This window comes from Homo sapiens, chromosome 20, assembly GCF_000001405.40.
Source record: "Homo sapiens chromosome 20, GRCh38.p14 Primary Assembly".
Classification (NCBI taxonomy): domain Eukaryota; kingdom Metazoa; phylum Chordata; class Mammalia; order Primates; family Hominidae; genus Homo; species Homo sapiens.
Window position 1 is genome coordinate 31,475,267 of NC_000020.11, and position 25,262 is coordinate 31,500,528.

Sequence of the window (25,262 nt, forward strand, 5' to 3'; positions counted from 1 at the left end):
GGGGAACTGGCCTGAGGGGCTGCTCACTGAGGCGGGTGGTACAGCCTGGAGCATCCAGCCGCTGGAGCTGCGAGGGACCCTGGACCCCTCCCACGCCGAGGTAAAGCCCTGCGCTACGCGCCGCCAACTTGCTCAAGTTGGAGCAGAGTTCGCCAGGCGATTGAAGGGGGATTCGGCAGCGTTGGCAGGAATAGGGGGGCTTCGAAACCGCGTCCCTAGGGTGAGGGTCTTCAGACCTGGGACCCGGAGGGCTGGATAGCCCTGGACAAAGACCCCTCCAACCCCAGGATGGGGGATTCACACCCGGGATGCCGGCTGAGAAAGCTCGGACCCAGACTCCAGGAATGGCACAGCGTTCCCGGGCCCTGTGGTCTGCCCTCCCCGTCCCCTGCCAGGACCCTGTCCTGTCACCTAACCTGGGGCCTGACCGGCGGCAGCTCCCGTCCCCAAAAGCAGTTGGAGGCCGTAGCGCCAGCCGCTCCTGAATTTTTCACACAGGGGGCGGGTCAGACACGCGGTTCCCATGGCACTAGGGCACTCGGGTTACAGTCGGGTTACCCCCATACCCCCCTCGCGCTTCTGGAGTGCCAACCCGCCCTCCTGCCTCTTCCTCCTCAGACCCCGTGAAATTGGGCATCGAAAGTTAAGTAGCCCCTACCCTTGGGGGAGACCTGAAACTGCACTCCCAACCCAGAAGCTGTGAAAGAGAGCGGTGGGGAAGGGGAGGAGGGGGACAATTCAGATGTCTTTCAGAGCCAGGGCCTCATGTTCTGTGGCAAGGGCAGGTCCGTGTACACGGAATGGGGAGTGTGCATGTGAGGACATCCCACCTTACTACTGCCCCTCCACCTGCCTGTCTGTCATCAGGAGTAGATCATCCTTAAGACAAGGGAATGGCCTCTGGGTGTGCATGTCTGTGTGTTCACAGCCTGCACACTCACTCCTTCCATCCGGATCCAGGTTTATGCAGAGCCTGAGGCCAGAAAACCTAGGGACTTTCTGCCCCAAGAAGCTGAGGCACCTCCTACTCCCATCTGAACAAGAGGGGGATCTGGAAGAAGCCATACAGCAGCTCATCAGGACACTATAGAAAGAAGCAGCTCAAAGCAATTGGCTGACAGCCAATTCCCCCTTCTTTCAGAAGGAAAGAAGGAAGAAGCAAACCCCCCCCTACCAAAGATGACACTCAACACCGAGCAGGAAGCAAAGACCCCTCTGCACCGGCGAGCCAGCACCCCACTGCCCCTGTCCCCACGGGGCCACCAGCCTGGCCGCCTGAGCACAGTGCCTTCCACTCAATCCCAGCATCCCCGGCTGGGCCAATCAGCCTCCCTCAACCCTCCCACCCAGAAACCTTCACCTGCCCCAGATGATTGGTCTTCTGAATCCAGCGACTCTGAAGGCTCCTGGGAGGCTCTCTACCGTGTGGTGCTACTTGGAGATCCTGGAGTGGGGAAGACCAGCTTGGCCAGCCTCTTTGCAGGGAAGCAAGAGAGGGACCTCCATGAACAGCTGGGAGGTAGGGGCCATATGGGCTGGGCTGGGATGTGGCCAAAGGAGCGAAAGCCCTGTCACCAGGGACACAGGGCTGCCAAGAACAGTTGTACAAGTCATGCACTGTTCAACTCTAAGGGGCATCATTCACTTAGACTATGACATGCACGATGCCCCCCCGCCCTCCAAAGTTGTACAGGGCACAGCCTGCACAATGGTCAAGGGGAGGGAAATTCTTGAATAGAACAAGAATTTTGCCAACTTCCCATGAATGAGAAGTATATGATTCATTTCCATGTCATGCGGGTGGCAATTCTGAATTCCATGTTAAGAAATGGTGGACTTCCACCAAGGTCAGAAACTCCCCTCCCTGACTCCTCTGACTCTTAGATTCTCCCAGTCCCATAGACACCCATCCATGGTCACCATGATCTACAGCAAAACTAAGATCCTTTGCAGAAGGGAGACTCCGAGACCCCAAGTTCTGGGCCCTGGGTTGCTTTATTCCCAAGAACTGCTGTGAGCTGAGAGTGTCGGGGGCCCCAGGATGATGGGGTACAGGGAAGATAGAAGAGATGAAGGTAGGCCCCTGAAGGACTGGCCAAAAGGACATAGGGTGAGTGGGGGAAGGGGGTTGATTAAATGCAGAGAAAAGGTAGGGACATCTAGCCAGACTCCTCTCTAGTCTTGACTTCTCTCTCCGAGTGAGAACACATATGTGTTACAGATAGGGAGACTGAGGTCAAGAGAGGATAACATGACCTGCCTGAAGCACTCACTAAATCAGAGACAGAGCAGGCCTGGGAGAATTCCTAGCCCAACTTTAACCCCACCACCCCACCTTCATTCAATCAATCAAATCTTTCTGGCACCTACTATGTGCCAGGTACTATGGCAGCTGGGGAGACATGGGCTCCTACCAGGAGAGACAGGCATCAAACAAGTGTGATAAGCGTTTCCGAGGACAAGTGGAGGGGGCGATATGACCAGAAATGGGGGGCAGGGAACACCACACTCTCTCAGGCTTGCCCGTCCTCCCTGAGATCCAGCTCTTCCCTCGGTTGCAGAAGATGTATATGAGAGGACCCTCACGGTGGATGGAGAAGACACCACACTGGTGGTCGTGGACACCTGGGAGGCCGAGAAACTGGTATGGCACTGCAAGCAGAATTTGGGGAGAGGGGTGCTGAGCCTAATACTAGACTCCTTCCTGTCCCCTCCTGGGGACACTACAGATCAGGTGTGAGCAACGGCCATCCTCAGCACCCTCCCCCAAAACCCACAGCTCCTAAGCAGTCTTTCCAATCCCAAACAGAAGACCCTTATGACCCTGACCCCTTTTCTCACTCCACAATCCCCTCCTAGCAGCCATCTCAGAATGTACTTCTCCCCCTGCAGATCTCCCCATCATTATTTCCACCCTCTTCCCACCCCTCCCACCCACATTGTACAGAAGGAACGCTGGATTTGGCCCCAAAATACCTAAGGCTGAACCCCCTTTCTTTTTCTTACTAGTTGTGTAGTTTTGTGCAATTGACTTAGCCACTCCGAGCTTCAGTTTTCTCATCTGATAAATGGGTTAACCATTCCTGCCTTCCTCATCAGCTAGTTTTTTAAAGTTCTTATGCAATTTCAGAGGTAAGCCCAGTTTAAAGCATGAAAAACTGCTGAATAGGGGTGAAGAATTGTAAATGATAACTCTTAGTAATTATGACTTGGTAGCTAGAGAAAAAGGAAATCAGGGCAGGAAGACAGCAGTAGGCAGGAATATGTCCCTATTATGATTTTATCTGGTTTGTGTTTTCTTTTCTTTTGCTACATGGGTAATACATGCTCATTGTAGAACTCTGAGGAAAAACACCTAAGCAAAGAGAAGGATCTAAAATCACCTGGGATCCCATCTCTCTAGGGGATAGGCTGCTCAAAAACTAAATGGTGAGTCTTCTGATTCCCATTCTACTGATGAGGAAACCAAAGACCAGAGCGGTTAAATAATAATAATAATGTGTCCAAAGCTCTCAAATAGCAAGTAAGATCCAAACCCAGATCTACAAAATCTTTGTAGATCTTATTCTTTTTTTTTTTTTTTTTTAGACAGAGTTTCACTCTTGTTGCCCAGGCTGGAGCGCAGTGGCGCCATCTCGGCTCACTGCAACCTCCGCCTCCCAGGTTCAAGCAATTCTCCTGCCTCAGCCTCCCAAGTAGCTAGGATTACAGGCACCTGTCACCATGCCCAGCTAATTTTTGTATTTTTAGTAGAGACAGGGTTTCATCATGTTGGTCAGGATAGTCTTGAACTCCTGACCTCAGGTGATCCACCCGCCTCGGCCTTCCAAAGTGCTGGGATTACAGGCATGAGCCACCATGCCCGGCCGAGGCTGTATTCTTATGCATTAGGACTGCATAAGAGTCCTCGTCTTATGACTGTCCTCCCCCTCAAGAGCATCACCTTCTGAACCTTCAGCTGAGGTTTCAGTCATTTGCTCATTCATTCATTCAGAAATACTTGCTGGGTGTCTATCATGGACCAGGACCTTGGAGACACAGAGATGAATAAGGCAGACAGGCCCTCTGGCTTCGTGGACCTCACAGGCTGGTTAGAGGGTCTACTTTTCATATGCAGCTGAGAATGCTATGGGGCAGTCAGTGTCCAGCAAGTTAAGATGGGTGATCAGACTGGGAGTCCCACTCAGGAGACAGGGGAGAAAGGATACTAGACTAGAAGGCGGGAGCTGGAACTCCACACCCAGCTTGCTTTCGCCTTGAGAACATTTTCTCCTCTTTTCTGGCCTTTTATTTTTGCAACCAGCAAAATTAGGAAACTGAACTAGTTTCCCTGATCGGTGACTGTGAAGAGAGGTCTCAAAGAGGGTCCAAGCAATAGCAGCATCATTGAAAAAAGTATCCATCCGTTCCGTCTGTGCGCTACATGGTACTCTGATATCAGAGAGGCTGAATCTGACAGAATTGGATGGGCCTTAGGACCTTAGTGTACCAGGTTGGCTGACCATCAGGACCACTTGGAGTGTATTAAAAATCAAATTATTGGCTGGGCGCGTTGGCTCATGTCTGTAATCCCAGCATTTTGGGAGGCCGAGGTGGGCAGATCACCTGAGGTCAGGAGTTTGAGACCAGCCTGACCAACATGGAGAAACCCCATCTCTACTAAAAATACAAAATTAGCCAGGTGTGGTGGTGCATGCCTGTAATCCCAGCTACTCAGGAGGCTAAGGCGGGAGAATCACTTGAACCTGGGAGGCAGAGGTTGCGGTAAGCAGAGATCATGCCATTGCACTCCAGCCTAGGCAACAAGAGCAAAACTCTGTCTCAAAAAAAATAAATAAATAAATAATAAAAATCAAATTATCAGGCCTCACCCTGGCCCTCACCCTCAGCCTGGGCAACAGAGCAAGACTCCATCTCAATAAAGATAGATAGATAGATAGATAGATAGATAGATAGATAGATAGACAGATACATACATACACACATACATACATACATACATACATACATACATACATAGATACTACAGCCCCACTTTTAGAGCTTCTTATTCTTTTATTTCTTTTCTTTTTTTTGAGATGGAGTCTCGCCCTGTCACCTAGGCTGGAGTGCAGTGTCGTGATCTCAGCTCACTGTAACCTCCGCCTCCCAGGTTCAAGCTATTCTTCTGCCTCAGCCTCCCGAGTAGCTGGGACTACAGGCACCCACCACCACGCCCAGCTATTTTTGTATTTTTAGTAGAGACAGGGTTTCACCACGTTAGCCAGGCTGGTCTCGAACTCCTGACCTCAGGTGATCTGCCCACCTCAGCCTCCCAAAGTGCTGGGATTACAAGCATAAGCCACCATGCCCAGCTGAGAATCTATATTTTTAATCACACTCCCAATAAGTTCATACCAACAAATCCATACACTAACTGGCTTTTGTGATCTTGAAATACAGCAAATCCTCCAAAAATATTTGTGCAATGAATGAATGAATGGTCAAGACTCACTTTCTCATTCTAGAGATGGGGAAAACTAAGACCCAAAGGAAGAAACCTGTCCATACTCAAGGTTGAGAACCCACATCTGTCTGACTCACCCTAAGGTTATTTGGCCTGGGAAATGATCAGTATGGCTGTTGAGAACTTACCCCCCTTTGACAATGACATTGACCACGAATCTGATGCTTTCCTATTCATCACCAAATTCCCATTTGGTTATCAGAAAATTTCTGGCTTCTGGCCGAGCACGGTGGCTCATGCCTGTAATCCCAGCACTTTGGGAGGCCGAGGTGGGTGGATCACCTGAGGTCAGGGTTTGAGACCAGCCTGGCCAATATCGTGAAACCCCGTCTCTACCAAAAACACAAAAAATTAGCTGGGCGTTGTGGCAGCTGCCTGTCATCCCAGCTACTCAGGAAGCCGAGGCAGGAGAATCACTTGAACCTGGGAGGTGGAGGTTGCAGTAAGCCAAGATCATGCCACTGCACTCCAGCCTGGGAGACAGAGTAGGACTCCATCTCAAAAAAAAGAAAAATGAAAGAAAATTTCTGGCTTCTTCACTACCTCACAACCACACACAGTCTTTCTCACTTCAGGCCTTAGCTCTGACTGTTCCCTTTGTCTGGAATCTCTTCCCTCCTGCTTGGCCTCCCCCTCCTTCCTAACCCCATTCGCCAGTCCCCTGTGAAGCCCTCGCACACTCTGCCAGGTGGGGTTGTTCTGGCCTCCCCACCCCACTCCTCCAGCCACTTACACATGTCTCTTACTGGTACTTTCACACTACACTATAACTCCCATTTCCATAAGCTCTCTTCCAGACCATGAGCTTTTGGAGGGCAGAAACCGTGTCTTACTCAACACTTATAAGGTTACTACCCAGGTAGTCCAGTCTTGGAGGGCTGTCCCTAACAAAAGATCACCATCCAAAATATCAAAAGCACTGCAGTTCTTTCTTTTTCTTGGTCAAACAACTTGAAAGGACTCCACTTCTTAAAGTGCCCCTTGACTGTCTCATCCCCTTGTGAACTTACACTTTACAGTTGCTCCTTCACCTCCATCTTCAAAACTGTCCTGAAAAATGCCTTCCCTCTAAAGTCAGCCTCCTGTCCTCACTTTTCTCTCTTTTTTCTCTTCATTCTGGATTTCACCAGGCATAAAGAACCATATGGCAAGACTAAACCCTCCTCAGAAACAAGACAAAAGAGCTAAACAGGTCAAGAGAGAACCCTCTTTAGCAGGAACAGGAACCAAGTAAATTTTGCCTGCACTACCCAGCCTGCAAAAGTATCAGTGAGTGAGAGAATTCTGTGAGGTAGTGTTATTAGCCTAAATTTTTAAGCAGAGAAACTGAGGCTCAGAAAGAATCACCAATTTTCCCAAGGTGACACAGGGAATTATAGCAGAAGTTGTCCCCCACACCTGTCCAAACTATAAACCTCAAGCTGCATCCCACCCATTAGACCATCCCAGCTCCACCTTCCTCAGCCAGGGCCTAGATACCCTCTGAGGATGGGTCTTGGGTCCCTCTCCTGCAGGATAAAAGCTGGAGCCAGGAGTCATGCCTGCAGGGGGGCAGTGCCTATGTCATCGTATACTCCATCGCAGACCGAGGCAGCTTTGAGAGTGCCTCTGAGCTCCGCATCCAGCTGCGGCGCACACATCAGGCAGACCATGTGCCCATCATCCTCGTGGGCAACAAGGCAGACTTGGCCCGCTGCCGAGAAGTCTCTGTGGAAGGTGAGCCCTCCATCCCACCACCTCCTCTTCACCTGGGCCCCACTGTCATGGCTGCTCCTCCAGCGCTCTTCATCTCAGTGACTGTCCCTGCCAAGCTGCCCCTACCCTGCAGCCACTTGCCTAAGCCTGCAAGCTGGGAACCATTCTTGCCTCCCACTCATCACCCCCAAACCAGTCCCCAGATCCTGTCAGGCCACCTCCATTAATTCCACATTCCCTTCCCTCTCTGCCTACAGTCTCTGTGCTATCCTGGCATCTCCACCTTCGCCAGTCCTCCTGCTTCTCAATTATTCCTCCTTGCCACCTGCCAGAATTTTCCAAGACCAGAGTTGAATTTGCACTTCTTAAAAATTCCTGTATGTGGTGGGGCATGGTGGCTCACAACTATAATCCTAGCACTTTGGGAGGCCAAGGTGGGAGGACTTGCTTGAGCCCAGGAGTTTGAGACCAGCTTTGGCAACACAGCAAGACCTTCTCTCTACAAAAAAAATTAAAAATAATTTTAGCTCTTTTTTTAAAAAAAAATTCTGGCCAGGCCCAGTGGCTCACGCCTGTAATCCCAGCACTTTGGAAGACTGAGGCAAGTGGATCACTTGAGATCAGGAGTTCAAGACCAACCTGGCCAACATGGTGAAACCCCATCTCTACTAAAAATATAAAAATTAGCCAGGCATGGTGGTGCACACCAGTAATCCCAGCTACTTGGGCAGCTGATGCATGAGAATCACTTAAACCCAGGAGGCAGAGGTTGCAGTGAGCCAAGACCACGCCACTGCACTCCAGCCTGGGTGACAGAATGAGACTCTGTCTCAAAAAAATAATAATTTCCTCTATGGCTCCCCTAGCCCCTTAATCAGAGACACTTTATCCACCAGGATGATAGGCCCAGTGCCTACAGGCTTTTCAAGGGCTTACATTTGAGAACTGAAAAGAACCATTATTGGCTCCAAAATACAGTGAAAAAAATTAGAAATTCAAATTTCTCAAAGCTTTAATTGTCTGCAAAACATATTTTGTCAACCAGTAACTACAAACCAAAATTTTAAACGTCATATATGGCTTGTATTTACAATGGGATGGGGACTATTTTAATAAGTTTGACATATCAGATAGGGCCCATAACAATTTTTCAATGGTCTTACTCACAGAGTAAAATCTAAAAAAATGTGTAAACTGAGACCCAGAAAGGAAAAAGCTAGTTTCACAGTCACCAGCCCCTGAGGACTAGAACTCGGGCTCAGTGGCTCCTGGAGGTGGAAGACCCTATGCTTTGTGAACAGACATCCAAAAAAAAAAAAAAAAAAAACTGCAACATAAGCCCCAGGAGATTTTGTTAAAGCACAGATTTCCAGACCTCAACCCAAACCTACAGAATCAGAAACTCTGAGGGTGGGTCCAGGAATCTGCATTTAAACAAGCTCCTCCAGGTAATTCCGATCCACAGCAAATTAGACCCTTTACCTGGCATTCAATAATCTGACCCCTCCCTGACCCCAGCCTCTCTGTCTTCCCTCAAAGACCAGTCTGATTTATCTGAGTCCCCAGACAGCAGCACCAGGCATGAGCACAGGAAAAATTGCTTCCAATCGAGACTAAACACATCTCTTCCTACCTTTTTCTCCGCCTTCCGTTATGGCTCCACCCCTCCTCGCCGGGCCCCGCCCCCTTAGAGGGCCGCGCCTGCGCTGTGGTGTTCGACTGTAAATTCATCGAGACATCCGCCACGCTGCAGCACAATGTGGCCGAGCTCTTCGAGGGCGTGGTGCGCCAACTGCGCTTGCGCCGCCGGGACAGTGCGGCCAAGGAACCCCCAGCACCCCGACGGCCGGCCAGCCTAGCCCAGCGCGCTCGTCGCTTCCTGGCACGCCTGACAGCCCGCAGCGCACGCCGCCGGGCACTCAAGGCCCGCTCCAAGTCCTGCCACAATCTGGCCGTGCTCTGAAGCCCCCCGCCCTTCTGAGAGTTGGCGGGTCACTGAGGTGCATTCTGGGCTCCAGGGACGCCACTGCGGGGCAAAGGCGCCGTTACCTGGAGTCTGCATCATGGGTCTTGCTTGCCTGCTGCCCTGATGGCCTGAGCATCCCCCAGATCCAAGCCTGGGGGATCCCGGGAAAGCGATGGACAGACAGACGATGGGGCCGAAGCCCCAAGCTGGGCACAAAGTAGTTTTTTACGTGGTGGGTGTCTTTTTGTAAAAAAATCTTCCTTGTCCCTGGGCTCTGGCCAACCCTCAGAAACCCTCACAATAAACCAGACCAGAAGGATGTCCCATCTGAATGCCCAGACCTCTCCATCTCGGCTCTTCCAGGCGTCTCCACCTACTGCCCTCCCATCTACACTTGACTGTAGACTGGTCTGGCCTGCTGGCCTGGGCGTCAGGGCGCATCAATAAAGTACTTGGACCAGTTTTGTGCTCAGGCCCTTCTCTCAACAGTGGATCACAACCACAGTTCCGTGACCAGCTACTTTCTCATTAACCCATGTTTTACGTTCTAGATTCACATGTCTGGAAGGACCTCAGTACTCATCCTGGCAATAGAATTGCTGGCGTTTGTTGGGAGCTGTGTACTAAGCTGTCACAACAATTATTCCTCCCAACACCTGGGAGAAGGGTTTCCGATTAACCCCATTTTGCTCGTTAGTAAACTGAGGCAGAGGACACCGAAGGCTCACCCAAGATCATACAGCTGCTATACGCGAAGTTGCCGGGATTCCAGCCCAGGCTTGTCAGACTCTAGTGACCAACATATCCATTGTCCACTTTAAACATGATACAAAACCCTATAGAATCTTGGCAAAACGAATTTAAAAACATAATTTCGCATCCAATTTAAAGGAGGTTGGGGCAGGAGCTCTATGAAACTCAATGCATTAATCCCCGGGATGGACCCCAGTTTAATCCAACTCACTCATTTCCCGAAGGCAGAAACAAGCCTAGAGAGGGGAGGTGAGCATGCCAGAGTCACCCAGCCAGGGAGGATTACACCCCAGGGCCCAGCCTCCTCCTGGGTCTCCCTTTGGCTGTGCGGGAGGAAGGAGGTGGTGAGGCGTCCAGCCTGGCTGGGGTCAGGGCTGGGTGTTGGGGATCAGGTCAGGAGTTTCCAGCCCGAAGGGAAGGGGTGTCACTGCTTTGAGAAGAAAACAAGACGCAAACCGTTTGGACCATCGTGTCCCTGACGCCGGACATCCCTTCCCCCAACTATCCCAGACGCCCCAGCCCCGGGGGACGCGGTGCAGAGAAAGACCGCAGCACCCGCCAGCCAGCCAGCAGCGTCCTCCAGCCGCGAATCCCCGCACCCCAGCCTTCCAACGGGGATGGATGGCACTCACTCCCACACCCCAACCCCAGCCTGGGGAAGGGAAAAGAAGGAAGGTCTTCCCCCACCCCAAGCTGTCTCCGGCCTGCGGTCAGGGGGAGGGGCTCTAGCTGTGGAAAGTTGGCAGAGGCGGCCGGCAGCAGCCGGGAGAGTGGAAAAAATGATATCAAACCCGGAAAAATGCAGGCCGGATGGAGGGCCGGAGTGGGCCCTGGGAGGTGAGAGGGCGGGAGGGAAGTGGGGAGGGGGAAGAGCTGAGAAAAGAAGAGGGGCCAGGGAGACAGTGCAGGAGCTGGCTTTAGAAAACTGAGTACAATCGCCCTCATCCCCTCCTTTCTTCATCTACAAGTATTTATTGAGGGCCTACTAAGTGCCGGGCACAGTGCCAGGCTCTGGGGAGATGTGGTGAACAGAAAGAGGGAGCTCACTGCTCGGTAGCTCACAGTAGGGTGGGCTGGGAGACTAGAAAACAAATCAGCAAATAAAAGAATCACAAACTTATAAGGAGCTGAAAATTAGAGTGGTCAGGGAAGGACCTGAAGATAATCCAGTCCAATCCTCCATCCTCAGATAGGAAAACTGAGGGCGAGAGAGAGAGAGACAGAGAGAGAGAGAGAGAGAGAGAGAGAGAGAGAGAGAGAGAGAGAGAGAGAGAGAGAGCTTACCCCAGGCTACTCAGAATGTGGAAGAAATACTTGAGAACGGGATAAGGGAGGAAAGGGGGAGGGAAGAAAGAACTGGTGCAGACCAAGATGGGAAGGTGGGAGGTGTTGAGGGAAGGAGAGTTATGCAGCTAGCACGGCAAGATGGCAGGGTGATTGAGGGCACTGCCCTGAACCAGGGGGTGTGTGTTCAAACCCCGCTCCCCTCCATCTCTCCATGCCTTAGTTTCTCCATCTATAAAACAGGATTCATGACAATTCTTTCCTTTAGGGTCGATGTGAGGATTAAATGATTCAAGTTGTGTAAAATGCTTAAGACACTTTCCGTGTCTAAGAAGATTCAATAAATGTGGGCTCCCGCTAGCATATCTTCTTTTTTTAAAAAAAAAAAAAAAACAGGGTCTCACTCTGTTGCCCAGGCTGGAATGCAGTGGCGCGATCACAGCTCGCTGCAGCCTCCACCTCCCAGGCTCAAGCCATCCTCCCACCTCAGCACCCCAAGTAGCTGGGACTACAGGCACATGCCATTATGCCCAGCTAATTTTTTTTTTTTTTAATTTTTAGAGGAGACAAAGTTTTGCTGTGTTGCCCATGATGGTCTCAAACTCCTGAGCTCAAGAGATGCTCCCACCTCAACATCCCAAGGTGCTGAGATTTCAGGCATGAGCCACTGGGTCTCACCCTGCTATCATATCTTAAGGCCTTGCAGAAACCAGGATTTGTTAAAGGTAAGATATTCTGAGACTGTGAAGACCTGCTTATGAGTCTCTGCCTGGCATATGTATTCACATGTTTTTGTCTGTCTGCCCCACAGGAATGAAAGCTCCTTGAGGGAAGGGCCCTCAGTGCTGCTCTGATCCCAGCACCTACAACAGTGCCTGGCTCATAATAGGTGCTCAGTAAATATTTGTTGAATGAATTAATTCATTATCCATTAATAGATATCCATTAATTCATTATCCATTACCTGTAAAGTGGCCCTTCCAATCCTGTCCTCTCTGATTCTAGGTGTCTGTGAATAAGGAATGGAAAGCATGTGAGAAAACCACACTCTTCCTCAGCCTATTATAGTTTAAAAAGTACTTTCTCATCCATAAAAACAAAACCAAAAAAAAAAATAGCTAACTTTGTTTTAACTGTTTCTCTGTGTTAATGTTGGGCCCCATGCTACATGCTGGGTACACATTTTCTCATGTCCTCACCACCACAACCCTCTACTTAATAGGTACTGTTTAATAGATGAGGACACAGAGGCTAAGAAAACCCAAGAATCTCTCCAAGGCTACACAGCAAGAAAGGGCCAGATCAATGGTGGAGAGGCAGGCAGGACCTGCCATCTTAGTTGTACAATTAGGGAAACTGAGACTCAGAGAGAGGAGACGAGTTGTCCAACCCCAAAGTTATGTAATAAACAGCAAGCAGTTAGATCACTCTTACTATGTACCAGGTGCTTCAGGTGCTGTCCTAAGTGTTTTTCATACATTAATCATTAAATCCTGAAAAACCGATCCTATTATCACCACCCCAGTTTTCAGATGGAGAAACTTGTAGCACAGAGAAGTGCAGTACCCCACCAAGATTGCACAGTTAGCAAGTAGCAGAACCAGAATTCAAACCAGGGAGATCTAGCTCACAGCATTAAGAGGTGGGGTGTGTTACACCATTTGTTTGTACAGCAAGCCTGGAACAGGCTGGTATAAAAAGGAAGGTGTCTTTGTCTCCAGCCCTGCTGCCTGAGGTAGGGGCAAGATAGAGAACAAAAGCGCATTGACAGCATCCTCAGCTGCCAGCTGGGACTTTCCACCTTGAAGGGAGGATACTGTTATGGAAAAAATGATAAAGCTCTGGGAAGATGGATGTCTCCCCAGGGGCCCCCAAGCCTCCTCAGAGTCCCTCCTCTTGCTGTGGGGGAGGGCCACAAACTGTGCTGGCCTGGTCCAGATGAGACAAAGGCCACCTGGATCCCAAGACACCCAGCCAGGCTGCTCGAATACTGAGGATCACTGGCCTTGGTGGAAAGTTCCAATTTCTCACCCCAGGCATGAAGCTTCTGCTCAGGGACCCCCGAGAAATCAGGTTCAGGCTGGAGCTCCCTGTCCTTGGAGATGGGAAATACACATCTCATAGGGCCCGCTCTCTCCTTTCTTCATTCAACAAACATGGACAAGGATGTGGGCTCTGAAGGAAGGTAGAGAATGTAGAGAGGATCACAGCTGGTGGGTACAGGAACTTCCAAGTCCCTGCCCTGGCCACGAAGGGAAGGGGAGGGTAAAAGAGGGTTAGAAGTAGTGAAAAATTCACCTACAACTGCTTTGTAATGATTAAGAATCCCTCCGGTCTGTCATGACCATATGACCTTAGGCAAATCAAAATATACAGAGTGAAGGGGTTAGCATAGAATTCTCTATGTAATTGTCTCTGTCTCCAGAATATTTAAATATTGTAGTTCAACAGCTTGAAAAAATATACAAGTTCAGTTTCAATTTGAGCACTGTTCCCTTCTGTTCAGTTCAGGGTTCAGTTAAAAATAATACGAATGATGGGATGGGAGCTCTGGGTGCAGCAATGTGTGTGGTTTTACCCAGTTCCATATGGTTCAAGTTCAAGGCTAAGGTTTGTGTGTATGTGTGTGTGTGTGTTGTGGCTTATATTCCCATCCATTGTGGATGTGACAATTTATTGGTGGAAAAGCACAGGCTTTGGAACTAGAAGAAACCTGTGTTTAATCCCACCTCAAGCACTTGATCTCTGTGTGAGCTGGGTTCTCCTTTCCTTCGTTTTGAAATGAGAGGTGATAATTCTTATCCCATAGGATTAAATGAAGTTTTTAGTACTTAAGAAAGAACCACTATATGCCATTGGTAATTTACTTCCCCTCTCTAGGCCTCAGTTTTCTCATCTGGAAAGTGGGGATATTAATAGTACTTCTTGGCCAGGCACAGTGGCTCATGACTGTAATCCCAGCACTTTGGGAGGCCGAGGTGGGCGGATCACCTGAGGTCAGGAGTTCAAGACAAGCTGGCCAACATGTTGAAACTCCATCTCCATTAAAAATACAAAAAAAGTTAGCTGGGCATGGTGGCACGTGCCTGTGTTCCCAGCTGCTCAGGAGGCTGAGGCAGGGGAATCACTTGAATCCTGGAGGCAGAGGTTGCAGTGAGCCGAGATCATGCCCCTGCACTCCAGCCTGGGCGACAGACCAAGACTCTGTCTCAAAAACAAAAAAAAAAATAGTATTTCTCACTAAGGGTCGATGTGAGAATTCAATCAGGTTGGCTATTTGTTAGCATGATGCTTTGCACTCAGTAAGCACTCAATAAATTGTAATGCATTTCCATGCATTACTTTATACTTTTTCCCACAGATATATTTTGCTAAGGCAAAGTATTGGATGCTTTTAAACATCATACTATATGTATCCTTCAGCTTTATTATTTTTCACATTCAACATTATATTTATGAGATTCCTTGTGTTGAAATCTGTAACTATTCTTTTTCATCACTGCACAGTATTCCACTGTATGAACATATAAGATTTATTTATCTTTTCTTCCTCTTGATGGGCTTTTTTTCTGCTATAAATAATGCACTATGAACATTGCATGTGCCTCTTTGAGCACAAATATGAGAGTTCCTCTTTCCATCTTTCCACTCTGCCATCTTCTGGGTCTCAGCTTGCCCTGGGATAGCTACCCTTAGGGTCCCAATATGGCCACCCCAGTTTCAGGCATGAAACGTGGACATGACAAGGTCCAGGCAAAGCAAAAAGGTTGTCTCTTCCTCAGCATGTCCCTTTCATCAGCAAGGAAACTCTTCCAGTTCTCACTGGCCAGAATCTGGTTACATGGCCACCTTCAAACTAATCAGTGGCTTAGGTTAATCAGGGTTTGCATAAAGTACAACATGACCACACCAAGAAGAAAAGCTAGAGCTGGGTTAACACCCCAAGTGCTCTAGTCAGGCAGTCAAGGGTGCATGCTCTTAGCTTTTCCAGTCTTACAAAACAGTCCAGAGTGAGTGTGACCATTCCAAATCCAGTCCACTTCAGGGTCTACCCAACTCTGTGAATGAGGATAGATGCCTTTTCACAGAATTGTCTGGAATGAAACTTTGGGAGGCCAAAGTGGGCAGATCACCTCAGGTCAGGAGTTCAAGACCTGCCTGGCCAACATGGTGAAATCCTGTCTCTACTAAAAATACAAAAAAAAAAAAAAATAGCGAGACACGGTGGTGCGGGCCTGTAATCCTAGCTACTTGGGAGGCTGAGGCAGGAGAATCCCTTGAACCAAGGAAGCGGAGGTTGCAATAAGCCAAGATTGCACCACTGCACTCCAGCCTGAGCAACAGAGCAAGACAATGTTTCCAAAAAAAAAAAGATTGTCTGGAAAGCAATTTTTGAGTCTTACATACACACATACACATGCACACACATTAATTCCAAAACTGAAACCAGGATTCACTAACTCAAATGCTCACAGAGTCAGACCAATAATATAAGTCAGTGAAGTCAACTGGGTAGAGGACATTAGGCAGCATCAAGTCTATGGCAAACTGGAATCAGCTGCCTTGCCTAAAAGGAGGATACGAACTAAGCTGCCTGTGACTACTGTTGGAATATGAACCCAGTGTTGCCAGATACCGCATGTCAGTTTTTCTAAGAAAGGCAGAGAGCCAGATCTTTATGTGAAGTATCCCAATCCTTTTGTTTTGAGGCAGGGTCTCACTCTATTGCCCCAGGCTAGAGTGCAGTGGTGCGATCACAGCTCACTGCAGCCTCAACCTCCCAGGCTCAGGGGATCCTCCTGCCTCAGCCTCCAAGTAGCTGGGCCACAGGCATGCACCACCAGGCATAGCTAATTTTTTTTTTCTTTTTTTGTACAGTCAGGGTCTCTCTATGTTGCTCGGGCTGGCTTCAAACTCCTGGACTCAAATGATCCTCCCGTCTTGGCTTCCCAAAGTGCTGGGATTACAAGTGTGAGCCACTTCACCCAGCCCTAATTCTTTTTTATTTTTTTTTTTTGAGATGGAGATTCGCTCTTGTTGCCCAGGCTGGAGTGCAATGGTGCGATCTCAGCTTACAGCAACCTCCACCTCCCAGGTTCAAGCGATTTTCCTACCTCAGCCTCCCGAGTAGCTGGAACTACAAGCATGCACCACCACACCCAGCTAATTTTTTGTATTTTTATTAGAGATGGGGTTTCTCCATGTTGATCAGGCTGGTCTCGAACTCCCGACCTCAGGTGATCTGCTCACCTCGGCCTCCCAAAGTGCTGGGATTACAGGCATGAGCCACCGCGCCTGGCCACCCAGCCCTAATTCTTAAATAATTATTGCTGATTGTCATTTTGTGTTTTTTTGTTTGTTTGTTTTTTGAGATGGAGTCTCACTCTGTCACCCAGGCTGGAGTACAGTGGCGCGATCTTGGCTCACTGCAACCTCTGCCCCCCGGATTCAAGAGATTCTCCTGCCTCAGCCTCCCGAGTAGCTGAGATTACAGACACCTGCCACCGTGCCCGGCTATTTTTTTTTTTTTTTTGAGACTGTGTCTCACTCTGTTGCCCAGGCTGTAGTGCAGTGGCGTGATCTCGACTCACTGCAAGCTCTGCCTCCCGGGTTCACACCATTCTCCTGTCTCAGCCTCCCAAGCAGCTGGGACTACAGGCACCCGCCACCACGCCCGGCTATTTTTTTTTTTTTTTGTATTTTTAGTAGAGACGGGGTTTCACCGTGTTAGCCAGGATGGTCTCAATCTCCTGACCTCGTGATCCACCCGCCTCAGCCTCCCAAAGTGCTGGGATTACAGGCATGAGCCACCACGCCTGGCCTAATTGTGATTTTTTTTTTAAACCCTGGTGCCTGGGCACGGTGGTTCACACCTGTAATCCCAGCACTTTGGGAGGCCGACGTGGGTGGACCACTTCAGGTCAGGAGTTCGAGACCGGCCTGGCCAGCATGGTGAAACTCAGTCTCTACTAAAAATACAAAAAATTAGCCAGGCATGGTGGCAGGCGCCTGTAATCCCAGCTACTCAGGAAGCTGAGGCAGGAGAATTGCTTGAACTCGGGAGGCAGAGGTTGCAGTAAGTTGAGATTGTGCCACTGCACTCCAGCCTGGGCAACAGAGCGAGACTCCATCAAAAAAAAAAACAAAAAAAAAACAAAACAAACAAACAAAAAAAACAGCTTGGGACGGGTACAGTGGCTCTTGTCTGTGATCCGTTCACTTTGAGAGGCCAACACCAGTGGATCTCTTGACCCCAGGAATTCAAGACCAGCCTGGGCAGCACAGTGAAACCCCATCTCTACAAAAATTACAAGAATTAGCCAGATGTAGTGGCCACACCTGTAGTCCCAGCTACTTGGGAGGCTGAGGTGGGAGGATCCCCTGAGCCCTCGAGGTCAAGGTTACAGTGAGCCGTGATCGCACCACTGCACTCCAGCCTGGGCGACAGAGGAAGACCCTGTCTCTAAAAAAAAATAAAATAAAATAAAAGGGAAAAGTTCAGAATAGGTTTTATTTTTATCAAGCAGGAAATTGTTCTACCAGAAATTTCCCTTTGCCTCTTGCTACCCCAAACAAGACGGCTTCTATGAACGAGGGAGAAGTGGGTGAAGGATGTCAGATAGGCAACTTCGGTATTTGCCAGAGAACTCCTTCCATCCTCTTCCCAGTCCCACTGCGCTCCCTGGAGGTACTCACCATTAACAGTTTGGGATATATCCTGGATATTTTTCATTCCACTTACATATACATTGTAGAAAATAATTGGCCACTTTTCTTTCTTCCACCCTATCAGAATTGCAATTTTGCTCTGTTGTTCTCCTCTTATCTATGGAATCAAGAATAAATCCTGATTGCTTTACGCCAGAGATTAAAGGGGGACCTACAGTCCAGCTATGGCCAATGAAGTGTGATGAAAAGTTAACTGGAGGTTTCTAGGAAAAGCTTCTTTGCTCTTAGAAAAGAGCTTAATAAATAAATAAATAAATAAAAGAGCTGCAGCAGGAAGAGACCAGTCCCTTTTTGACAGGTCCCTGGAGTGTAGGAATGTAATACCTGGAACTGTAGACACCATCTTGCAATTATGATGGGATCTAGTCAGAGGATGACAAGGCAGAAAGATGGGGAGTACCTGAACCCTTGCTGATGAAGTCAAGCCTCTGAACACCAACCTTGGCGCTTCCCCATTTCTAGACTTACTGTTATGCAAATTTTCTTGAAGGATTTCTGGGCCAGGCACAGTGGCTCACGCCTGTAATCCCAGCATTTTGGGAGGCCGAGGTGGGTGGATCACCTGAGGTCAGGAGTTTGAGACCAGCCTGACCAACATGGCGAAACCCCGTCTCAACTAAAAATACAAAAATTAGCCAGGCGTGGTGGTGCGCACCTGTAGTCCCAGCTACTTGGGAGGCTGAGACGGGAGAATTGCTTGAACCCAGGAGGCAGAGGTTGCAGTGAGCCAAGATCACACCACTGCACTCCAACCTGGGCAATAGAGTGAGACTCTGGCTCAAAAAAAAAGAAAATTACGGGGATTTCTGTGCCAAAGTCTAAATCATCCATCTGATATGCATGTATGGGTTTGTTTCCTTTTTTCACGTAAGTGGGATTATAGCCATATGCATTAAGACCGAATTCCACTGCAAATCCAAAATAGCCGTGATAGAAACAGATAGAAGGGCACTTCTCTCTTATATAAATGAAGTCCACAAGCAGGCTGTCCAAGGGTGGCATGGCATTCCACAAGGCAGGAACTGTGCTTGCTTCTATCTTCTGGTTCCCTCATCTTCAGTACAATATGCTGCTCAAGCAGCAGCCATCATATTCACATTCCAGCCAGCAGGAAGCGGTAAGGAGTCAAAAAAGGCACAGCCTTTCAGAAGACACACACCTCTGATTACATCACGTTGGCCACAGCATAGTCACATGGCCTCACTTAATTGCATGGAAATTTAGGAAATGATTTTGTGATGTTTTTTGTTTTTGTATTTGTTTGGTTGGTTGGTTGGCTGGTTTTGTTTTTTTGAGATGGAGTTTCACTCTGTCACCCAGGCTGGAGTGCAGTGGCACCATCTCTGCTCACTGCCACCTCTGCCTCCCAGGTTCAAGTGATTCTCCTGCCTCAGCCTCCCGAGTAGCTGGGACTACAGGCAGACACCACCACGCCCGACTAATTTTTGTATTTTTAGTAGAGATGGGGTTTCACCATGTTGGTCAGGCTAGTCTCACACTCGTGGCCTCAATGATCCACCCGCCTCAGCCTCCCAAAGTGCTGGGATTATAGGTGTGAGCCACTGCTCCCAGCCAGGAAATGTATTGTATTCTAAATAGTCACATACCAGCTCAAAATCAGGGATTCTGTGTTTATGGAAGGAGGAAATAGATATTGGGGGACAAGTCAGAAAAAAAAAAAAAAGGAAAGACATTGAGAGATAACCAGCAATCAAGGGTCAACCAGTAATCTCTGCTACAATGCCGTACGTATCGGTTAATATGCTTTTTTCACTCAATGTGTACTGGCTTTCTATCCATGCTTTATTCTTATACATTTCCCTTGTTATTTGGGGGGTTATATTGTTCTTATTTTTCTATCTTCTTCAGATAGAAACCTCAATCATTTATTTGAGGCCTTTCTTCTTTTCCAATTTAGCATTGAAAGCTATAAATTGCCTTCCAACACTGTTCTAGATGCATCCCACAAATTTTGGTATGTTGTGCTTTTCATTATCATTCAGTTCAAAATATTTTCTAATCTCCCCTGTGATTTGTTCTGATTCCCATAGGTTATTCCAAAGTATGTTAATTTCAAAATATTTGGGGGTTTTCCATTTGTTTGTTTATTTCCACTGCAAATTTGAGACTTAATAATTCAACATATGGCCCATCTCGATGCATGTTTCATGTGCACCTGAAAATACTATGTATTCTGCCATTGTTGGGCATAATGTTCTAAATGCCAGTTAGGTCAAAGAGGTTGATAATGCTGTTCAAGTCTTCTCTATGCTTAGTGATTCTATGCCTACTTGTTTTATCAATTACTGAGAAAGGAGTGTTGTATGTGACTGTTTCTCCTTCCAGTCTGTCAGTTTTTCCTTTACCTTTTTCTTTTTCATGGCTGTACTACTTTTCTACAGTATGGATGTACCATAACATATTTTACCCATTGAGGGGCATTTAGGTTAGTGCAAATGTTTTGCCCTTCACAACAGTGTGACATTCAATATTTTTACATGTATAGAAGAGATTACCAAATTCAAATTTACTAGTCAAAGGGCACATACGTTTTACCTTTTGACACACCCTGCCAAATTGCCCTCCAAAGGGGCTGTTTTGTTTATATTCAGATGAATTGTGCCAAATTCCCTACTTTGTGACCCACATTAGATATTACCAGTCTCTTCTCATTTGACCTTTTATTGGGGACAAGATGAGAGAAAGTAGGAAGGAAGGTGTCTCATTGCCTATTTTGCTTTTCCCTAATTATAACAAAGTTGAGCTGTATTCTGCTCAATGACTGTGCCCTTTAGCTGCCCAAAACCACAGTGAAGCTTTGAAATTACAGCTTTTAAGGGCTGCATTAAATTCTGAGCCTAGACTATTTCATTCTTTATTCTCTGCCTGGGGTAGAGGAGGGTGCTTTATTCCAGTTACCAGAGCCTCGGTATCCAGTTACTGATACTCTTGGTATCAGCCTAGAGTCCTGATTCCAGAACAGGAAATCTGGCATCAGTCAGGTCTGAATTTGAATCCCTCTGGCTCAGCCATTTGCCAGCTCTGTGACCTTGGGCAAGTAACTTGGCCTCTCTGAACCTTTGGACAGTCAGTTTTACAAAGGAGGATGACAAGCACTTTGCATAGGTGTTATTTAGATTAGAAACTGGGTGTGTAAAGCACCTCTCACAGCACCTAGCACCTAGCAGTCATTAATAACAATTAAATTTTTTAATAGCCATTCATTGGGCATTTGACACGTGAAGAGCACTGAGTTAAGCCCTTTTCCCAGGTTATTTCATTAATCCTCACAACAGTAAGAGATAACACTATTCTACAGATAAAAGATAACTAAGACTCTAAGATGTTAAGTAGCTTGTCCAAAGTCACACAGTTAGTAAAGATCAGAGCTAAGGATTAAATCAGAAATGTCTGGCTTCTAACTAAGCCTGCTTCCCAGGGTAGCTGGCTTATTCGACAGATCAAGAAAATGAGGCCCAGGGAGAGGAAATAACACATGGAATGAAGTGGTGAGCGAGCAGCAGCCATTTGAAGAAATATCCCTCTTCCTTCTGGGTCTGGGTGACCAGCTGGAGAAGAGACTGGAGAGAGTGGAGGAAGGGACAGCCACCCAGCAGAGGAGGCAAGAGCATGGAAAATGTCTCTTTCAGCCAATTTTCCTGAGGAACCCTGGCTGAGGCTCAGGGCTGGGAATGGAAAGTGTGCAGGGAGGAGGCGCAGCCGCGTCCACCCGGAGAAACTGTCTGCAATGTCCTGCCGGGAGAGGCCAGGGGGAGGGAACTGCTGGGACCGCAGTGGGTGAAGGAGCCGGAGGGGCAGATCCGGGAGGATGAGGATCTGGCATCTGTCCAGGGCCAGGTCTCCTGGGAGAGGAGGGGCAGGCATTCCCCGAGCTCCCTGCTTCCTCCTTGGGCTCCCCGGCTCTGCCAACTCCTGCTGTGCCCTGCCCATGAATCTGGGCATCAACCACTCCTGGAATGGAGATGCTGGCAAACTCGACTCTCTGGGGATGCGCACAGCTGACTCAGGGAGGGTGCGGTGGCCAGGAAGAAGGATCGATCCTATTCTCAGAGATCTTCGCCAGGGCTGGTTAAGATCTGAGAGCCATCAGCCACATCAAATGCATCCTGATCTCTATGACATCAGTGCGGTCCCTCTGCCTGGTAAATCTCCTCTTGCTACTCACAATGCCCATAATTCCACCATTATGGATACAACCAAGGCTCTTGTTCAGTATACAAAGGTATGGTCATACTAATCATTAAAATATTTAAATGCATTCCTACTAGTTGGTAATAACCCATGCCCTGAGTGTCCTCCAAGTACCAGGTATAACAGACCCTCCAGGCCTTCCTCTGGAAGCCTCCAGGGCCCCTCCCCTTAACAGCCATTAAAGGGGTAGTACCCTTACCACGGCAGGGCCACCCAGGGCTATGTGGATCATCAGTAAGTGATGGTCACAACCATTATTACTACTTTTCATATCACTCCTGGAAACAACCCTTTGGATCACAACTTTGTCTCCTGTTTAAAGGCAAATGGTAGAAATTTAGAGGTGAAGAGGCCCTGTGCAATCTCTTCATCTTTCAGATGAGGAAACTAACGCCCAGGGAGAAGCAGAGACTTGCCCAAGGTCACACTGCCAGGCAGTGTAAAACAAGGTATTAGAATGCAGGTCCCTGACTCCTGACACTTCCTTTAGGTGTCAGTTTATCTGGACCCCACACACTGAACTTGAGCAGGTAATGGAAGGAAGTGATGGGGAGGGACCTGTCTCAAGAAAGAAGTGAGAACCAATCATTTGGCTCTTTACCTGGTCACCATAGTCATGGCAACAGTCTCCTTGGTCACTATCTCCTTAGAGATAGTTGCCATGGCAACCACTACCCCGGGGCACCAACTTTCTGACACCCAAGAGCCTTAAGATAAACCAGAAGCAAGTCTGTTCCATAGCACTAACCCATATCAGAGCTCCGAGTAGGAAAGAGACTTGCCCAACATCACACAGCAAGCTGGCAGTGAAGTCAAGCTTCCTGAGTCCCCCACCCGAGGCTCTCACAGCAGCCCCACCCTCTCTACAGCTGACACCGCCCCTCCCCCACCTATCCCCATTTTTCTGCCTGCTTTGGTGCTTCCCACATTCCTCCAGCCCTCAGTCAGGATCTCCTTCCCACGGCATCTCACCCTTGGCTGCCTGTCAGCCAGCCCATCCTCCTGGGAACAGGCTGACATGAGTTTTGTGTAGGACTCATCGCAGGGGTTTGCAACATTGGCTGAGGCTCCCTGAAGACCAAAGAGCCTTCAACATCCTTTGCCCTCCAAAGGAAATAATCTCCAATGGTGGAATTTCAGGCTCTATGCTCAGAACTGAGTAGCTCTTTTTGGGGGGTCGGGCCCATCCGCTGTGTAAGGCAGAAGTTGCTGCCCCACTCTGAGTCTAGAATCACTCCGAGTCTGATCCCCTGTTTTGTTTTTATCAAGTCCCTTTTCCTCTCTGGGACTCAGTATCCCCACCAAAGACAAGGGGATGAGGATACCGTTCTACAGTCACCACCACCACCACCATCAGAAGACTGCCAGAGACCAGACGCAATCTAGTGTTTCAGTATAACCAAACAAGGAATGGCCATGGTTTAAAGAACTGGCCTACCTTCCCGCTATCTTCTTTTAGAAAAATGGAATCTCAGGATTGGAAGGATGTCCCAGGCACAGGGAAGATCTTGAGCAAAAGCAGGGAGGCTGAAAAGAATCTAGGGAACCTGTGACTACCTAGTGTGTTGACGTGTAAGGATAAAGAGAAAGTAGGGCCTATAATCCCAGCACTTTGGGAGGCCAAGGAAGGAGGATCAATTGAGCTCAAGAGTTCGAGACCAGCCTGGGCAATACAGTAAGACCCCACATCTAAAAGAATATAAATAAATAAATAAATAAACACAGAGAAAGTAGCCTAGCAGGACAAGCCAGAGGAGATTAAAAGGGATCAGTCACCAGTCCCAGGGCTAAGGACGTTGTCTCTGACGCCTCCTTTCTGTCCTTCTGTTCCTGCCCTCAAAAGCAATGAGCACCAAGCATTTGCAAACTCCAAGTCTCAGGGCTTCAGGGACTCACCAAAGATGCTGAGGCACTCCCCTGCCTGGGTCTAACCTGTGCAATTCTGATACTGTGGGATGGAGGGGATGGAGCTGCATAGGTTGAAGGGCAAAAGAGAGCAAGGAGCACTGCAGGAAATCATCCACTCATCCATTCATTTGATGAATATTTATTAAATGCAACCCAAGCTTGTGACCTTGGGCAAGTTATTTAGCCTGTCTGTACCTCGGAGTCCTTGTGTGCATAATGAGGACAGTGGAGATGCCTGCCCCGTACGATGGTGTGAGGATCAAGTGAGTTTGTAAATGTTTAGTGCAGTGCATGGGAAGCAAATCAGTACCCCATGCATGTGTGTTATAATTATAATGATTACTGAACATTTACTATGTGCTGGGCACTCTCTAGACAGTAGAAGTACTGGGTGAAGTTCAGTGTGAACACAACATGCATAATTTCTGCCCTCAAGGAGTTCACAGTCTAATAGGAGAGACAAACCAAAAAAGACAACTTTATTAAAATAATACAAAGAGGCCAGGCGCGGTGGCTCACACCTGTAATCCCAGCACTTTGGGAGGCCGAGGTGAGCGGATCACCTGAAGTCAGGAGTTCGAGACCAGCCTGGCCAACATGGTGAAACCCCTTCTCTACTAAAAATATAAAAATCAGCTGAGCATGGTGGCACACACCTGTAATCCCAGCAACTCAGGGCGCTGAGGCAGGAGAATCACTTGAACCTGGGAAGCTGAGGTGGCAGTAAGCCAAGATCATACCACTACACTCCAGCCTGAGCAACAGAGCAAGACTCCATCTCAAAACAATAATAATAATAAAAAGAATTACAAATTATTGCATCAGATCTAAATCTTAACCTCCAAACTCAAGTGTGCAAGAAATATTCATTTTTTTATTTTCTCAAAAAGCAAATTCTACTCCTATCCCCTACTCCCATCCTTCTGGGCTGCATGGAAATTCAGTCTCCATCCTTACTGAAGCCACTCCATGACAAGAAACAAGGAGGGAAGACAGGGACTCCGCCTGGCACTGAACCACGTGAAGCCTCTGACCACGGTGCCCAAGCCCTCAATAGCCCCTGAAATCCAGCAGCCCCTGCAAGCCAAGCCAAGCGAGGGGCCTGGGAGTCTTGCTGGAGGCTGGAATCACCAGGCCTGAATCCAGCCTCCCCAAGCACACCACCTGGCCATCCCCACAGTCTAGCCACCTCTTCGGGTAGGAGATCTC

The 25,262-nt window shown here is 48.4% G+C and overlaps 1 protein-coding gene and 1 long non-coding RNA gene across 5 annotated transcripts; both read left to right on the top strand.

Moving 5' to 3' along the window:
* REM1 (RRAD and GEM like GTPase 1) lies at positions 22-9,629 on the top strand. Of its 4 annotated transcripts, none has more exons than XM_005260404.1 (5): positions 22-100; positions 961-1,519; positions 2,538-2,644; positions 7,021-7,222; positions 8,893-9,629. In XM_005260404.1, exons 2-5 carry the CDS (start codon positions 1,180-1,182, stop codon positions 9,162-9,164), a joined length of 921 nt encoding a protein of 306 aa, XP_005260461.1. In that variant the 5' UTR covers positions 22-100; positions 961-1,179; the 3' UTR covers positions 9,165-9,629. The 4 variants fall into 4 exon arrangements, with proteins under 4 accessions (XP_005260461.1, XP_011527097.1, NP_054731.2 ...); XM_011528795.1 differs by having other exon boundaries at positions 2,544-2,644; NM_014012.6 differs by having other exon boundaries at positions 2,562-2,644.
* LINC00028 (long intergenic non-protein coding RNA 28) lies at positions 10,512-12,308 on the top strand. Its single transcript, NR_024358.1, has 4 exons — positions 10,512-10,757; positions 11,766-11,929; positions 12,016-12,093; positions 12,210-12,308. It is a non-coding gene; the product is annotated as a long intergenic non-protein coding RNA 28 (long non-coding RNA).
* Positions 12,309-25,262: the final 12,954 nt, after the last annotated feature.